The 17,060-nt window shown below is 46.0% G+C and overlaps 1 annotated feature.

Annotated features, from left to right (window-relative positions):
* Positions 2,001 to 2,519: an enhancer, noted in NCBI's record as "NANOG hESC enhancer chr20:41948123-41948641 (GRCh37/hg19 assembly coordinates)". NCBI's record gives its function as "activates a minimal SCP1, AML or CMV promoter by ChIP-STARR-seq in primed H9 embryonic stem cells {active_cell/tissue: H9 hESC(primed)}" and the evidence as "EXISTENCE:reporter gene assay evidence [ECO:0000049][PMID:30033119]".

Consider the following 17,060-nt stretch of genomic DNA (forward strand, 5'->3'; position numbering starts at 1 on the left):
ATATAGAATTCTGCTAGCCAACTCAGCAGCCACCAGCCACATGGGGCTGTTGGGTATTTGAAATGTGGCTAGTATAAATTGAGATGTAGAATAAGTGCAAAATACACACCGGATTTTGAGGACTTGGTATTTTTAAAAAGTGTAAGATATCTCAGTAATGATTTTTATATTATGTAAGATTATGAAATGACTATTTTTAATATATTGGGTTAAATATAGTGTTAAAATTAATTTCACTTGTTTTTCTTTTTTCCTTTTTTTTTTCTTTTTTGAGACTGAGTCTCTCTCTATTGCCAGGCTGGAGTGCAGCGGCATGATCTCAGCTCACTGCAACCTCTGCCCCCCGGGTTCAAGAAATTCTTGTGCCTCAGCCTCCCAAGTAGCTGGGATTACAGGCGCCCGCCACCATGCCTGGCTAATTTTTGTATTTTTTGTAGAGACGGAGTTTCACCATGTTGGCCAGGCTGGACTTGAACTCCTGACTTCAAGTGATCCACCTGCCTTGGCCTCTTAAAGTGCTGGGATTACAGGTGTGAACCACCGCACCCAGCTAATTCTTTCTACTTTAATTTAAAAGCATGTATGACTCACACTTATGGCTCACATATTTCTATTGTTCGATGCTGACATAGACGATACCTTAGAGTTATCCCACCCAAGGGGTGAGGAAGCTGGGTTTTTACCCACCCATTTATACCCATCATTGGTTGAGTACTGCTCCCAGGGGTATAAAATCCTTAGTATTTCAACCTGGCCCATGCACCAGTGAGCTTCTGCAGCCAGAGAAAACCCTCAGCCAGAGTTGCAAGAACTTGTCATAGGAACATGTTCAGGAATGAAGAGTGCAGGGCGATGTGGGCAGAGCACTGCTACCCTGCCCAACAAAAATCTGATGGCCATATCTATGTCCTGCCCTCATGTCCCAGCCTCTCCTATCCAAAGTGAATGGCCCAATTTCTTTCTACAAGTCCTTCTCATAAAATTTGCTCTCTGTCCCCTCAGCTTCTGGACTGCCTTCTCCAAACACATACCAGTTGGTCACTGTCCTTTTTACAGGGTGCTGGTTGAGATGGTCTATCCATTCACGGGCTTCTTAGCCCTCCCGAGCCAAGGACCCCTTACAGATTCTGGTAACTTCAGGGAACTTCTCCCCTGAAGGAAATTCTTTTTAGGCCATGTGCACCATTCTCGCAAAATTTTGCATTGCACTTTCAAAGGGTTCACAACCCCAGTGTCCATACATAGGCCTTTCCAAAGGTCAGTGAACCCAAGATTGAAAACCCCAGCTCTAATGCTTGTCTGACTTCTTTTATTCCTCCACTACATATGTTCACATCTTTCTTTCTGAATGCTTTCAATTTTCTTAGCAGAAAAGGAACGTAGTTCCTAAAGCTGCAAGTGGAGGCAGGCACCCCAGAGTGATCTGCTGGCCATAGATAAGGAGTTGCTGAGCGCTTGGGGTTACCCCCCACGCCAATCCCCATTGACTCACTGGCTCCTAATAAACAGCTGATTTGTGAAGATGAGCCTCACAGGCAACCAGGATATCAAGGCAGAGAATCCTCTGCCCACAGGGCACAGAATGATAAAGCCAGAAGAGGCCAAGGACATCAGCATATGTTATGCATGCCAGCAAAGTTGAGCTTACGCGGCATGTCATTGATCCTTGAAATAACTCAGTGAGGTATGTGGGGCTCTCATCTTCATTCCACAGATGACACTGGAATCAAGATAGAGACAGTACAACTCAGAGGAGAGGAGTTTGCCCAAGAACACATAGGTAGCAAGAGGGGAAGCCAGGACTTGAACTAACATCCTCTGAGTCCCAGCCCTATATCCCTTTATCCCCATCAAGTTGCTCCTACTGGAGGAAACTGCTGGCTGTCCACCCAAGTCCAGCTCCTCTTACTCCACAGTAGCTGTGATTGGGACATGGCTGTTTTGCCAGGAACAGCAGTCCCAGCTTCTCTGCAGGCCAGGGATGGGGTATGAGTGGACACAACACGTGCCATTTCTGTCTCACTTGTTTACGAAAACATGTATGGTCCTTATGGCCCTGAGTTTGCACATTTTTCTCCTCCTACTGACAGGATGGCAATAATAAAAGTGACCTTGGAAGCCACATAAACATGGCAGAGTCATTAATTAATAAGACTGGGATCCTGAACATCCATGTGGAGCAAAACTACCTGCTGACCTGGAACATCCCACCTCTGACTGTTATGTGGGAGACAATTGACTTCTTTGTTCTTTAAGCTACAGTATTTGGGAGTCTTTTGTTCTAGCAGCTGAGCCTTTTACCCTAACTAATACACACCCCTAGGGAGCAGAGTAGGGAAAGAAACTTACATTTAGGCTTTCTGAGGCCCTCCCAGTTTCACCAGATGTCAAGATGGCACATAATATGAGGCCTTAATTTTTGGCCTCATACCACGCCACAGAATGATCCCTAAGGATTACAACATCATCAGTTCAGGCGACCTCAATATGTACAGGATCTCAGCCCAGAGATTACAGAATCTCAGAACCCAACACATAAGTGCTCACTGCTGGCCCCAGTGGGCTCAGAGCTGTGATTCACCCTGAGAGGGGAAAGGGATGGAAACACTCTGTTATTTGCTTATTCCCTACTCTCCCTCCTTCCTGTATATTACCCTGCCTCAGCTAGGTCAAAAGTCCCCACCCCCCACTGTTTGAATCCCTCATTTTCCTCCTTTCTCCTATGTGCAAAACAAACATACATTAATACATCTACCTTTTGCTCTTATAAGAAAACGGGCTCTGTAACACAGACAACTGGTTTTGGCCTACAGCACTGAACACAGGAGAAAGCCAGCTGCCCGTGATAAGGGTCCATCCATCCTGGGACCCTGCCCTGCAGACCCCTGCCTCCTGCCCTTCTGTCTGGTTGCTCCCAGTGACCGGCTCAGCCAATCAGAGGGCTGCATTTCTTTCGGCACTGGCCTTTCTCAACTTCTAGAATCAACTCCAGGCTTGAGATGCCATCTGGGCTGAACCCACAGAAAAGGATGAACTTCGTCTTGCTTTTAACATAGCTCAGGCATCCAGCACATAATGACCTTCAAAACCCTGCACCTCACAGAAATGATCCCCATGAAGGCATGAGTGGATACGTGGCCACTCTGCTGGGGTATGAACTTCCGGGTGCCATGCTCCAAAATCCTCCTCAGCTGTCTCATTCCAGCTGCATTCTGGAGCCCAGACCCCATCCAGCTCCTCAAGCTGCTGTCCAGTGCTGATGTGGAGTGCTGTCTGGGAACCATCGCCTTGCCCAAGTGCATCTAGAAGCCTTCCTAGAGTGTGGCTAAATCCATGTTGTTTACTGGGGTGTCCCTCCTTCTAGACTTATTAAATCCACTTTCCCTCCATTAGAAATAAGGAAGTGAGTCAGAGCTGCCACTTCAGGCACCCAGGGACAATGAATGACCCCCACGGTCCAGAGGGAATCCATAAACCAGAAAAGAAAATTAGGATCTGACTTCCTGGAGAAGCAGAGATGCTGCCAAAGCTCTGCCCTAAGTTATCCAGTGGGTGGCCTACTGGGAACTTAATCATATTTGGGTTTTTTTTCCTGAAGTAATCTTCCCTATTTTTGGTTAGTGGGGTGTAACACCTCTGGAAAGGAGGGGAGGCCAACTGGGGCGGTTCTGATGACTAAAACCCGATATGAGTTTGCAGGGGCTGCCCCAGACCGGGTAGTTTCAACAGAAATTTATTTTCTCTTGATTTTATTTATTTTTATTTTATTTTTTATTTTTTGAGACTGAGTCTCACTCTTTCATCCAGGCTAGAGTGCAATAGTACAGTCTCGGCTCACTGCAACCTTGGCCTCCCAGTTTCAAGCAATTGTCCTACTTTAGCCTCCCAAGTAGCTGGGACTACAGGCATGCACCACCATGCCCGGATAATTTTTTGTATTTTAGTAGAGATGGGGTTTCACCACGTCGGCCAGGCTGGTCTCAAACTCCTGGCCTCAAGTGATCTGCCTGCCTCGGCTTCCCCAAGTGCTGGGATTACAGACATAAGCCACTGCACCCAGACCATTTTCTCATGATTTCAGAAGCTAGAAGTGTAGGATCAAACTGTTGGCAGGGTTGGTTTTGTTGAGCCCTCTGTCCTTGGCCTGAAAATGGCCATCTTCTCCCTGTGTCTTCACAGGGTGCATGTACATATCTGTGTTCTCATCTCCTCTAGAAGAACACCGCTCATATTGGATTAGGGTCTACCCCTATGACTTCAGTTTGCCTTCATTACCCCTTTCAAAGTCCTATCTCTAAATACAGTCACACTGTGAAATACTGGGAGTTGGGACTTCAACATATGAATTTGAGGAGGTTGGAGAGACACATTTCAGCCCGTAACAGACCCCACCCATTCCCCTTGGGAGAGGGTCAGCAAGTTCAGCATGCCCCTAGGGCTGGGCTTTATTTTCCTGGAAGACCCAGAAGTCCTGTCATGGGAGTCGAGAATCAGAAGGAGCCCTTCTGTGCAAGACGGTCTCAAGGAGGAGAGAGGCAGTGCCCTGAGAGGGAGGGTGGGCGGAGGGAAGAGGAAGGGGCACTGAATTGGGGAAAAGACGCCTGGTCACCACGTTTTAACAGGGATATGAATAAATTCATTGTGCCTAAGGAAGATGAACAGACTGTGAAAAAGCCTTCAAAATCACAAGGGACATTTAGCTTGAAGAGGAAAAGACATACGGAGTAAAGGTCTCTGTTTTCACCTCCCTGAAGAAAGGTAATCAATGTGCCCCAGAGGACAGAACCAGGACTTGTAGGTAGAAAGCAAAGAGAGGCATGCTTCAACTGCAAGAAAATAAAAGTGTTCCAAGCAGTGAAATATTTGACCTTGGAGTAAACTGCTATAATAAGTAGTATGCTCCCTTCACTCACAGTATTTCAGTCGGGCTGAAAGATCATCGGGGTGCCTAGAGGAGAAGTTTTCATGCACTTCTCAAATTCTATGATGCTCCAAATCAGAGGGTTGGACAAAATAATTGTGCTTAAAACCTGCCCTTGTGGTCCTCTTGTCTCATATAACACTTAGCAATCTCTCTCTTTGCAGACTGGCTGAAATGCAATGAGAGTGCCTGATGACACATAATTTTTGGCACAGAATTCACGACATTCATCTCAAATGTCCAAGCTACTACTATAAATTAACAGATCTTCACACACACACACACATACACACACACACACACACACACATAGCTCATCTCAAAAGTGTGAGAGAACTTCCGAACCATGTGAGAAAACCAAGGCTTTTGGAAGAATATGGCTCTGCGTCTGTCAAGTCAGGAATCCATCCTTCTAGAAGGGCACGGTAGTCAGAGGAAAGTCCCCTCTCCTCTAACACACACACGTTGATGTCCACCTCCTAATCCCCAGCACCTGTGAATATGGTACCTTACAAGGCAAAAGGGACTTTGTAGGAATGATTAAGTTGAAGGACTCTTAGATGGGTGACATTCCCCTAGGTTATTTCGCTCCTCCAGTCGAATCATGTGAGTCCTCATAAGCAGAGATGCCTCTCCTGACTGCAGTCAGAGAACCAGAGAGGCGCAGCAGGAGAAGAACTTGGCCACAAGCCAAGGAATGCAGGAAGCCTCTAGAAGCTGGAAAGGGCAAGATGATGGATTCCCCCCTAGAGCTTCCAGAAAAGATGCACCATGTCAACATTCTGATCTTAGCCCAGTGAGACCAACATGGGACTTCTCTTCTCTAGGACTGCAAGATAAATTAAATACATTTGTGTTTTTAAACCACTTGTGATAATTTATTAGAGCAGCAATAGAAAACTGATACAAAGAGTCAGGCACTCTGAAATCATAAAACAAGGATTCAACTCCCAGTCGGCAGAGTCCTAGCTGTGCAAACTTGGGCCAATTAATTAACCTCTCTGGATCTCAATCGGCTGCTAATGGGGCCGTTCACTACTCTCAAAGGGCTGATGTAAGTATTAACGTAGATAATAAACCACTAGTAACGTGTCTGGCACAGACAGCCCAGCAGATGTTCCCATCTCTTCTTTTCCACCTTATTTGCTCCTAGCCTACTGTGTTATTTGCGTCATTGCTCCTTGGGAAATGAGGAAACTGGGTTCCAGGTAAGCCCGAAGATAGGCACAATAACATGCAGCTGATGAAAGTTAAAGTGGGATTTGCAGTCTGGCTTCAGGAAGCCCCACTTGGAGGCCTGCTCGCAGAGCAGCCAGAGCAAATCCCAGCCACAGCACAAAGGGCTCCAGGAACCACATTCTTAGAGATCACTCCAGGAGGTGCCCTGGGGGCAGTGGCCAATGATAACCAGGAGCATAGGCTGTGGGACTATACTAGATCAAGGGCTAAGATTTCCCTAGGGTCAAGGTGTTCTGATTCAACTGGACTGCCCCCGGCCCCCAGGCTTCATACAGGGTGCTGGTGAGGAATTGTCCAGGTGTGCAGGAATGCGGGGAGGTGTCTACTGGTGATCTGAGCAGTAAGAGCAGCCTCTGAGGGGGTGATATTTTTAAAAAACAGGATCTTGCTGTGTCACCCAGGCTGGAGTGCAGTGGCTCCATCACAGCTCACTGCAACCTTGAACTCCTGGGCTCGAGCTGTCTTCCCTGCCCCCACCCTCCCCCTTCCCCACCCCCCACCCCCCACCCCAGCCTCCCAAGCAGCTAGGACCACTCGGGACCTATGCCACCATGCCTGGCTAATTTTTTTTTTTTTTTTTTTGTACAGACAGTCTCACTTTGTGGCCAAGGCTGGGGTGACCCTGCTAATGGAGCTGGCAATGAACTGCATTTTGGAAGCTCAAGCAGTCACTCTCGTCCAGGTGAGCCTGAAAAGTGTCGTCACTGACATCGCAGGTCAGAGCAATTGAATGAACTGTGGAATTCCTGCTGTGAGTCTGTTAGGCTGCAGGATCCAGGATCCTCCACCCTTATCTAGTTCCAAAACTTTTTATCACCCCATAAGGAAACCCTGTACCCAGAAAGCAATCATAGCTCTTTGACCCCCTCCCCTGACAACCACTAACCTGCTTTCTGGCTCTATAGGTTTGCCTATTCTGGATATTTCACATAAATGGACTCATACGATATGTGGCCTGCGGTGTGTCTTCTTGCACTTAGCGTAATGTCTTGGAGGTTCATCCACATTGTGGCATGCATCAGTACTTCATTCCTTGATGTGGCTGAGTCCTATTTCATTATACTTAATTTTTTTAACAAGATGTTCCACATTTTCATTTTGCACCGGGCTCTGAAATTATGCTGGTCTTACGAAGCTCTCTTACGGGGTTGCAGAAACCGGTCACTCTCAACTGGCCCCTTGCCTCCCCGCCCTCCTCTCTCCATGCACCCTCCACTGTGCAGCCAAAATGGTCTTCCTTGGACGAAGCCTAAGCATATCATCTCTGTGCTTAAAATCCTCCTGTGACTGACACCCATCGCCCTCACCCCTACCATATCTCGGCCCCTTGGCTAAAGGATCCAGCTCTACAAAGGAGCCAGGCTGTAGGGAACCTCCATGCCTTCGCCCATGCTGCCACTCAGCCTGGAAGGCCCTCCCCCCACTGCCCCCCTTCTTCTCAAAATTGACTCCAATACGGTAACTCTATGATTCTAAGGTCTTCATCCTCAAGAATGAGGTGAATGGTTAAAGGGCCCTTAGCTCGCTAATGACAAAGATGCAATTTGCTTCAAAGCTGACCTTCAGGAAAGAGGACTAAAAAAAATAGATGAGTCAATTTAATCTTCTGCACTGACACTTCCAGGGACCATAGAATGAACTTACAAGGGAACTTATGTAAGTTCCTTTGTGAGATATAAATAAGCACATTAAAGTATTCCTGCTTCTGTCCAGCTTAATGGCCAAGAAACTAATTGTCAGAAATCGGAAAGGAGCTGAAATAAATATGGGTAGAGTGCTGCTTGATATTATGAAGAAATCTGGCCCAAAAAGTAAAGGCAGGGACGCAGATAGGGGATGTCCAGCTGTCCAGTGGGCAATTTTTCATTGTGGTCATGAACTTTTTTCTGAGACATAGTTTTTTGCTCTTGTTGCCCAGGCTAGAGTGCAATGGCACAATCTCGGCTAAATGCAACCTCCGCCTCCCAGGTTCAAGCAATTCTCCTGCCTCAGCATCCCGAGTAGCTAGGATTACAGGCATGTGCCACCACACCTGGCTAATTTTGTATTTTTAGTAGAGATGGGGTTTCTCCATGTTGGTCAGGCTGGTCTTGAACTCCCGACCTCAGGTGATCCGCCCATCTCGGCCTCCCAAAGTGCTGGGATTACAGGCATGGGCCACCGTGCCCAGCGCTCATGAACTTCTCTGCTTTCTCACATAAACCATCATTAAACAGTAGCTGGCACCACCTGGATGCCACTTCCTGCCAAGAGTCATGAGGGCATGGTGTGCAGGGGACAGTGGGGACCCTAAGGTCTAGTGCTCATCCATCTGGCTTGTCCTCTCAGTAGCAATGTCCTCTAGGGCCAAGGACTCCTGACACCAGAACCTCAACTGACAGCAGTTGCATCACAGGTCAGTCTTTGTGGCTGGGCACAAACCTGCAGGCTGGACTTCCCAGCTGTCAAGGCCACCCCCTGCCCCCTCTGTCCTCCCCTCCTCTCTCACCTGGCCCCGGATCCCCACCTCCAAGATGTTGCTCTATCTGGGTGATCATCTCCTATCTTCAGTCTTTCCCACCCCAAGATTCCTTCTCGCCCACCCTTGAAGGTGCACATCTCCTGAGGTGGGCAAAAGCCCCGCCTTGACTCTGCCTCTCTCCCAAGCCAGTAGCTCCTCTCCCTCTTTGACCACCCCCTATCACCAAACACAGTCCATCCTTCCTCACCTCCCTGCAGGCTGCCCAGCTCCAGCCTCACACTCCACAGTCCTTCATCTACAGAACAATACGATCCCTCTGAAACATATCTGGACCACCACTGCCCTGCCTGAACCTCCCAGGAGACTTTCACTACCCCCAGAAGAGGGCAAGTCTCAAGCTGGGCATTCAAGGACCATGTTGACCTGGCCGCCCTCACTTCTTGGCTGTCAGACACCCTGCAGCCACTCCTCCCCCACTTTTGGCCTTCAACCTCTCTGAGTCTCTGTTTCCCCATCTATGAGGTCAGTGGTTTGGACCAGCTAATCCCTGAGGCTCCTCCACGGTTCTAAAAAGGAAACACAGCACACACGCATGTGCGCACGCACATACACACACACACACACACACACACACACACGTGGGCACACACCACTTAGGCTTTGTTCTGAGTACCTAACTGCCTCCCATAGAAAACTCAAGAACAGGAGGTGAGGATCCCAGCGGAAGCAGTGGGCGCATTCTCTCTCGTGCTTTTTTTCTCTCTGCTTTCAATGTATTTTACCATCTTCTGAACAAAAATAGCCTGTTTGATTCCCTATGGGAAAAAATAGAAAAGAAGATAAGAGTCAAATTAGTGTCCACTCTCATAAAATTTTTTTTTAATGGAAAGAGAAGGAGATAAAAAGCAAAAAGGTAGAGACATCAGGCCCACAACTCAACCAGAAAACTTAGCTGCCCATGGCTGGAGATCCAGATGGGGCCAGAGAAACTAGGAAAGTTGAGGCAGGGATAAATCCTTGCCTAAGGTCTGGGCTCCCTATTGGGACCCTGCTAAGAGGTATCATAAGTCATATATATATATATACTTTAAGTTCGGGATACATGCGCAGAACATGCAGGTTTGTTACATAGGTATGCACGTGCCATGGTAGTTTGCTGCACCCATCAACCCGTCATCTACGTTAGGTATTTCTCCTAATGCTATCCTTCCCCTAGCCCCCCAACCCCCGACAGGCCCAGGTGTATGATGTCCCCCTGTGTCCACATGTTCTCATTATTCAATTCCCACTTACAAGTGAGAACATGAGTGTTTGGTTGAACTCATCCTTCTTCATGGCTGCATAGTATTCCATGGTGTATATGTGCTACATTTTCTTTATCCAGTCTATCACTGATGGGCATTTGGGTTGGTTACAAGTCTTTGCTATTGTGAACAGTGCTGCAACAAACATACATTTGCATGTGTCTTTATGGTAGAATGATTTATAATCCTTTGGGTATATACCCAGTAATGAGATTGCTGGGTCAAATGGTATTTCTGGTTCTAGATCCTTGAGGAATCGCCACAGTTCTTCCACAATGGTTGAACTAATTTACACTCCCACCAACAGTGTAAAAGCATTCCTATTTCTCCACATCCTCTCCAGCACCTGTTGTTTCCTGCGTTTTTTTTAATTTTTAAATTATTTTTATTTGTTTTACCATATATTTATGGGATACATGAGATGTTTTGATACAGGCATGCCATGTGAAATAAACACATCCTGACTTTTTAATGATCACCATTCTAACTGGCGTGAGACAGTATCTCATTGTGGTTTTGGTTTGCATTTCTCTAATGACAGTGATGATGAGCTTTTTGTCATATGTTTGTTGGCCACATAAATGTCTCCTTTTGAGAAGTATCTGTTCATATCCTTTGGCTGCTTTTTGATGGGGTTGCTTTTTTCTTGTAAATTTGTTTAACTTCCTTGTAGATTCTGGATATTAGCCCTTTGTCAGATGGACAGATTGCAAAAATTTTCTCCCATCCTATAGGTTGCCTGTTTACTCTGATGATAAAGAGCTTCTGCACAGCAAAAGAGTCACCTATTTTTTAGAGCAACACTGACACATATCAGCTCAGACGTAGAACCATTCCTTCTCTCTTGGTTTATCAGATAGGACCAAGAGCTCACCTGCCAGTGGGTGGACCAATTCTCAAAATATAAAGTATATAATTCTTTATACTGGAGGAAGAGTTCAGCATATCTTGTTCTCTTCTTGGTCCTCGCAGTTGCACTGATGTATGTCTGGCCTTCTGGGGAAGAAAGAAGGTTGAGAAGGTGTTTTGGGGTCCCTGGAGGACTGGGACCCTGATTGTTACCTCTGGGTAGTGGGATAGGGGATGTGCAATGAGGAACGGAGTCTTTCAGTCTTGTACTTTGTTCACATCTTAATTATTTTATTCTTTTTCAATTAACATGCTGTAGTTGGCTTGAGTTTTTGTTTTATTTTGTTTGCTTGTTTTTTTAACATACACAGAGATGACAGGCGAGGTTTTATTTTCAAGGTTCTTCAAAGAAACAAATCAATTCTGGAAGGCCAAATTAACTTGCTGGCCATCTCCAGTTTGTTAAACTACAGTCAATAACAGGGGTTGGCAAACCATGACACACAAGCCAAACCCAGCCTGCCGTTTGTTTTTATAACTCCTGCAAATTGAGTGTTTTTTTATATTTTTAATGTCTCTTTTTAAATAAAGAAATCTATCTCATAATATGACATGTGAAAATATGAAATTCAAATTTCAGTGCTCATAAAGTTTTATTGGAACATAGCCATGCACATTCATTTACACATTGCCAATGGCTGCTTTTGCACTCCAATCAGGAAAGACTATATGGCCCATAAAGCTAAAAATATTTACTATTTGGCCTGTACAGAGTTTGCCAATCCCAACAACATCCTGTTGTCTCAGGTCTTGAAGAGTTAAGAACACATTAAATCATATATTTAATCAAACATCTTGGGTATATTTTTGCGGAACTGTATTGGAAACATTACTTAAGGACTTCATAGTGTTTTCTTCTCTGTAAATTTTTCACTATGGAAATTTTTTTAACATATTCAATAGTAGACAGAATAGTATAATGATCCCCATATACTCACCACCCAGCTTCAACAATTATTATAGTATTAATATTATTTTGATTAACATCAATTTATGGCAGACCTAGTTTTAACGATACCCCACCCACTTACCTTTCCTGCATTATTTTGAAGCAAATTTCAGAAAGGATATAATTTCATCTGTAAATATTTCACAGCAAACACTGTTTTAAAATAAAATTTTACAACCAGAAGGAGACGGTGACAAAGTTGTGCGTAATAAGGAATTTGCAGCAGAAGAGTCATGAGCCCATGGAGGAAGGGGGTGTGGGTGGAAGACACACTTTAAAACTGATTGAGAAATGCACGTGTGGCACACCACATCTTCCAAGCAAAACTCCTGGCTGATAGACAATCACCATGGGAATAGGAATGTCTCTCTCCCATCTATTGTGATCAATGCCAAGAAAAGGCCGGGCGCGGTGGCTCACGCCTGTAATCCCAGCACTTTGGGAGGCCGAGATGGGTGGATCGTCTGAGGTCAGGAGTTCAAGACCACCCTGACCAACATGGTGAAACCATGTCTCTACTAAAAATATAAAATTAGCCAGGTGTGGTGACGCATGCCTGTAATCCCAGCTACTCAGGAAACTGAGGTAGGAGAATCGCTTGAACCCAGGATGCAGAGGTTGCAGTGAGCCAAGATTGTGCCATTGTACTCCAGCCTGGGTGACAAGAGCAAAACTCTTGTCTCAAAAAAAAAAAAAAAAAAAAAAGCCAAGAAAAATGGATGGAGCAAGGGACAAGGAAAGGGAGCCTGTTCATGTAATTAAAGACTGGGAAGGAGATAGACAAGCTGTCAGCTTCATGAGTTCCTGAAAGCTGGGTGGGTCACCCTGGCAGTGAGTGATGTCTGATCTTTCTCTTCCTTTAATAGCCAGGGTCAACCCTGAACAAAGGAGAAGCAAGCTGCCTTTGTGAGTCCAGGGTCCCTCTTTGGACTTTTTCCCCTCTGTCACCCCAAGAACCCAAAAGACATAGGGGAAATAAGGAAGAAAGAGAAGAGTCACATCAACGGTCAGGACTGCAGGGGAGGTAAGTGACCTTAAGAGAAGAGGCAGCATTGAAAAGGTAGGAGGAGGCCAGAGGCCGGGTGTGGTGGCTTACACCTGTAATCCCAGCACTTTGGGAGGCCAAGGCAGGCAGATAACGAGGTCAGGAGTTAGAGACCAGCCTGGCCAATATGGTGACACCCCATCTCTACTAAAAATACAAAAATTAGCCGGGCATGGTGGCGTGCACCTGTAGTCCCAGCCACTCAGGAGCCTGAGGCAGAAAAATCACTTAAATCGAGAAGGCAGAGGTTGCAGTGAGCCGAGATCACACCACCACACTCCAGCCTAGGCAACAGAGCGAGAATCCATCTCAAAAAAGAAAAAGAAATGGGAGGAGGAGAAGCAGGAGCAAGAGAAGAGGAAGGAAGCTTCCCAGGGGGGATCAGGCCCACCAGGCAGTGCACTCTGTTTACAGAGGGACAAATTAACCAGATTAGAATCCTGAGAGCCAAGTTTACATGTCAACATGGCCAGGCAATAGTACCGTTAGTCAATCAGACATTAATCTGAGGGTTGCTGGGGAGATATTTTGTACAGGTGGTTAACATCTACAATCAATTGGCTTTAAAGAAAGGAGATTATCCTACATAAGGTGGGTGGATCTCATCCAATCAATTGAAAGGTCTTAAGAGCAAAATTGAGGTTTCCTAAAGAAAGAAATTCTGCCTCAAGACTGCAACATCAGCTTCTGCCCAAGAGTTTCCAGTCTTCCAGCCTGCCCTACAGATTTCAGACTTGCCAGGCCCCACAATCATGTGTGTCAGTTCCTTGAAATAAATTTCTTCATACACACACACACACACACACACACAGAGTATATTTACTGATTCTGTTTCTCTGGATAACTGACACATATCCTTAATCTTTCTCTCCCTCTCTGACTCTATACAGTTGTGATAATAATAATTAATAATGGCCAGGCACAGTGGCTCACATCTGTAATCCCAGCACTTTGGGAGGCAGGAGATTGCTTGAGCCTAGAAGTTTGAGACTAGCCTGGGCACTATGATAGCATGTCTATGCTATCATAGACCCATCTCTAAAAAAACAAAAAACAAAAAAAAGAAAAAAAAAGAAAGAGAAAAGAAGAAAACAATAAGCAATAATACCCAACATTTATTGAGTACTTACTATGTGCCAATGTGCCAGATAGTGTTTTCAGTGCTTTACCTATATTAACTCACCCAATCCTCACAATTGCCCCATGAGAATATTATTGTGCCCGTTTTACAGATGAAGAAACTGAGGCACAGAAGGGAGATCACTGTGAGCCTATAGCAAAAGGCTAATGGAGCCTGGGAACACGGGCAAAAAGGGCATTTGTTCCTTCACTGCAGGCTCACCTAAGGTCTAGAGTGCAGTTCTCTACCCCCACTGGAGGCAAGAGGATATATCCTTGGACACAGGGTAGACAGGAAGAAAATCATCAGAAACCAAAGCAGATTGTACTAAATCTTTCTGATTCTAGCATAGCAGCATCAACAGAGCACAAAGTCATCTCAATAAATTATCCCATCACATTTGTTATACCACAGTGAACATTTTAATATAGTAAATCTTTCCATTTTCTTATTTACACTTTCCTTATTTTATCTTATTGACGTTGTGCTTGAGGAGTTCCTAATTCAAAGATACCTGACTCAAGCCTTGTTACTAGGGAAGAGGGAGTGAGAAGACGCTGCAGACGTCCAGAGAAGCAGACAGATAGTCCACGATGCCAAAGAATCTTTGCTGGAGGAACTGCATCAGGCGGGGCCTGAGAACCGGTGGTTTCTCGCCAGCATCCGTCATCCGGCTGTTTCTCAGCTCCGGCTCCAATCTGGAGACCGAGCCATGCCTGTGGATGCTTCCCAAGAAGGATCTGGTGGGGTGGGGCGGAATTTTTTTTCTCCCTCCTCTCCCTTGAAAACATATTTGACTGCTTTGCAATCCAAACGCAAACAGCCTGACAATGTGCTGAAGTGCCCTGAAATGCAGGGAGCTGGGCCATAGAGAGGTTCAGAGGAGGGATTCCTCCTGCAAGGCCCTTGGACAGGAGAGCCAGGGGGTCTCTCAATAAGGGGGCCGGCCTGCGGGAGGACCTTGGGAATACGTTCTAATTTTCTAATACAGGAAACTGGAAGAGCCAAATGCCTTGGGAAAGAAGGGTTTGTTTTTTAAACTGGGAGCCTCATACATATATATGAGATTAATATTTTATCCTATAAGAAAAGTCTACAGTTGGGAGAAGGCAGTGGGGGTGGGGGGCAAAACCCTAACACAACATGTGCCATGGTGACTGCTGGAAATGCAGCCCACTGGGCACACAACCCAAGAACTCTGCGTGCATGCTGCCCCTAGGCTGGGAGTGGGCTTTGGGTGAGCTGTCTGTTCTCCCGGCCAGGTTCTCACACCAGCCTCCAGCCAGCAGAACCTAGGGATATCTGAAAAAATGTCCCCTCAGCACGCTTCTCTTCAGCCCCTCAATTGCCCCTAAGCTCTTCCCACCATGCTTTTCAACCATCCCTTCTTTTCCTTTCTACCCAGGATACTGTTCTTTGAAGCTTCACGGTTAAGCCAGACTGTGTCCCACTGGTCTCTTGGCGGGAGGGTCTCCCCATTAGAGCTCCCTGAGAGGGACTGCACCCTGGGAAGTTCAGTCTGAGGAGATTCCATCCCATCCAGCTGGTCTTCCCTTCCCCTCCCCTCCCTTTCCTCTTCTCCCTCTCCTAACACTCACTGACAATCTACTCTTAGCAGGCACTGCTCTCAGGGCTGGAGAAATAGTAATGAACAAGGCAGACCAGGTCCATGCTCTTCTTAATCATTTGTTTTTTGGGGGTGTGAAAAGTTAAAGTAGAGGTTCCTCTTCAAAGAGACTTTCCTGTCTAATTAAGAATAAATAATAACTTCTCTTAGAAGCAAAATTTAGTCCGGGAGGGAGGTGGGGGGTCAGCCCCCCACCCAGCCAGCCGCCCCGTCCGGGAGGTGAGGGGCGCCTCTGCCCGGCCGCCCCTACTGGGAAGTGAGGAGCCCCTCTGCCCGGCCACCACCCCGTCTGGGAGGTGTACCCAACAGCTCATTGAGAACGGGCCATGATGACAATGGTGGTTTTGTGGAATAGAAAAGGGGGAAAGGTGGGGAAAAGATTGAGAAATCGGATGGCTGCTGTGTCTGTGTAGAAAGAAGTAGACATGGGAGACTTTTCATTTTGTTCTGTACTAAGAAAAATTCTTCTGCCTTGGGATCCTGTTGATCTATGATCTTACCCCCAACCCTGTGCTCTCTGAAACATGTGCTGTGTCCACTCAGGATTAAATGGATTAAGGGCGGTGCAAGATGTGCTTTGTTAAACAGTTGCTTGAAGGCAGCATGCTCGTTAAGAGTCATCACCACTCCCTAATCTCAAGTACCCAGGGACACAAACACTGCAGAGGGCCAAAAGGGTCCTCTGCCTAGGAAAACCAGAGACCTTTGTTCACTTGTTTATCTGCTGACCTTCCCTCCACTATTGTCCTATGACCCTGCCAAATCCCCCTCTGTGAGAAACACCCAAGAATGGTCAATAAAAAAAAAAAAAGAAGCAAAATTTACTCAAAGACCTGTGCTAACATTACTAGGTATCTGCTAGCTGTAATAAAGAAATCAACGTACTTTGTGTTCTTTGCTCCCACAATTTGCCCTGGCATGCTTAATACTAGTCCACGCAAGATTAGGTCATAGCCTGTTTGTCTTCCTTCTTTGGAGGTGTTTTTACCTTTCTCAGCATTCCACAAGTTACTTCCTCCTTCCTTTGTTTTCCTCTGCCTTTGCCTCTTTTAGAAGGTTCCAAGTTGCTAGCCAATCGGGACACATACAGAATGTGAGGTCCCATTCTAGCCAATGGAAACCAGGCGCAACAGTAGGGTGGACACGTCAGGTTATAAATAACCCTGTCTCCTTTGTTCAGTGTACTCTCATGGCAAAACTACTGGCGAGTGTACCCTTTCTGCAAAAAGTAAAAATTGCCTTGCTGAGAAAATTAAATTGATGTTCAAGTGCTATTTCTTTATGGCACCAGGGAACAAGCATTTCAAACAGGGGCTTTGGGGGGGTTATTTTATTTATTTTTTGTCAGAACATATTATTAATTTGTTTATGCAACAAATATTTACTGAGCACCTACTCTGGGCCAGCCACTGTTCCAGGTCTTGGGGATACAGAATTGAACAGACAGAACAAAAATCCCTGCCCTGGTAGAGTTTGCATTCTATG

Source organism: Homo sapiens, chromosome 20 (genome assembly GCF_000001405.40).
Source record: "Homo sapiens chromosome 20, GRCh38.p14 Primary Assembly".
Lineage (NCBI taxonomy): Eukaryota > Metazoa > Chordata > Mammalia > Primates > Hominidae > Homo > Homo sapiens.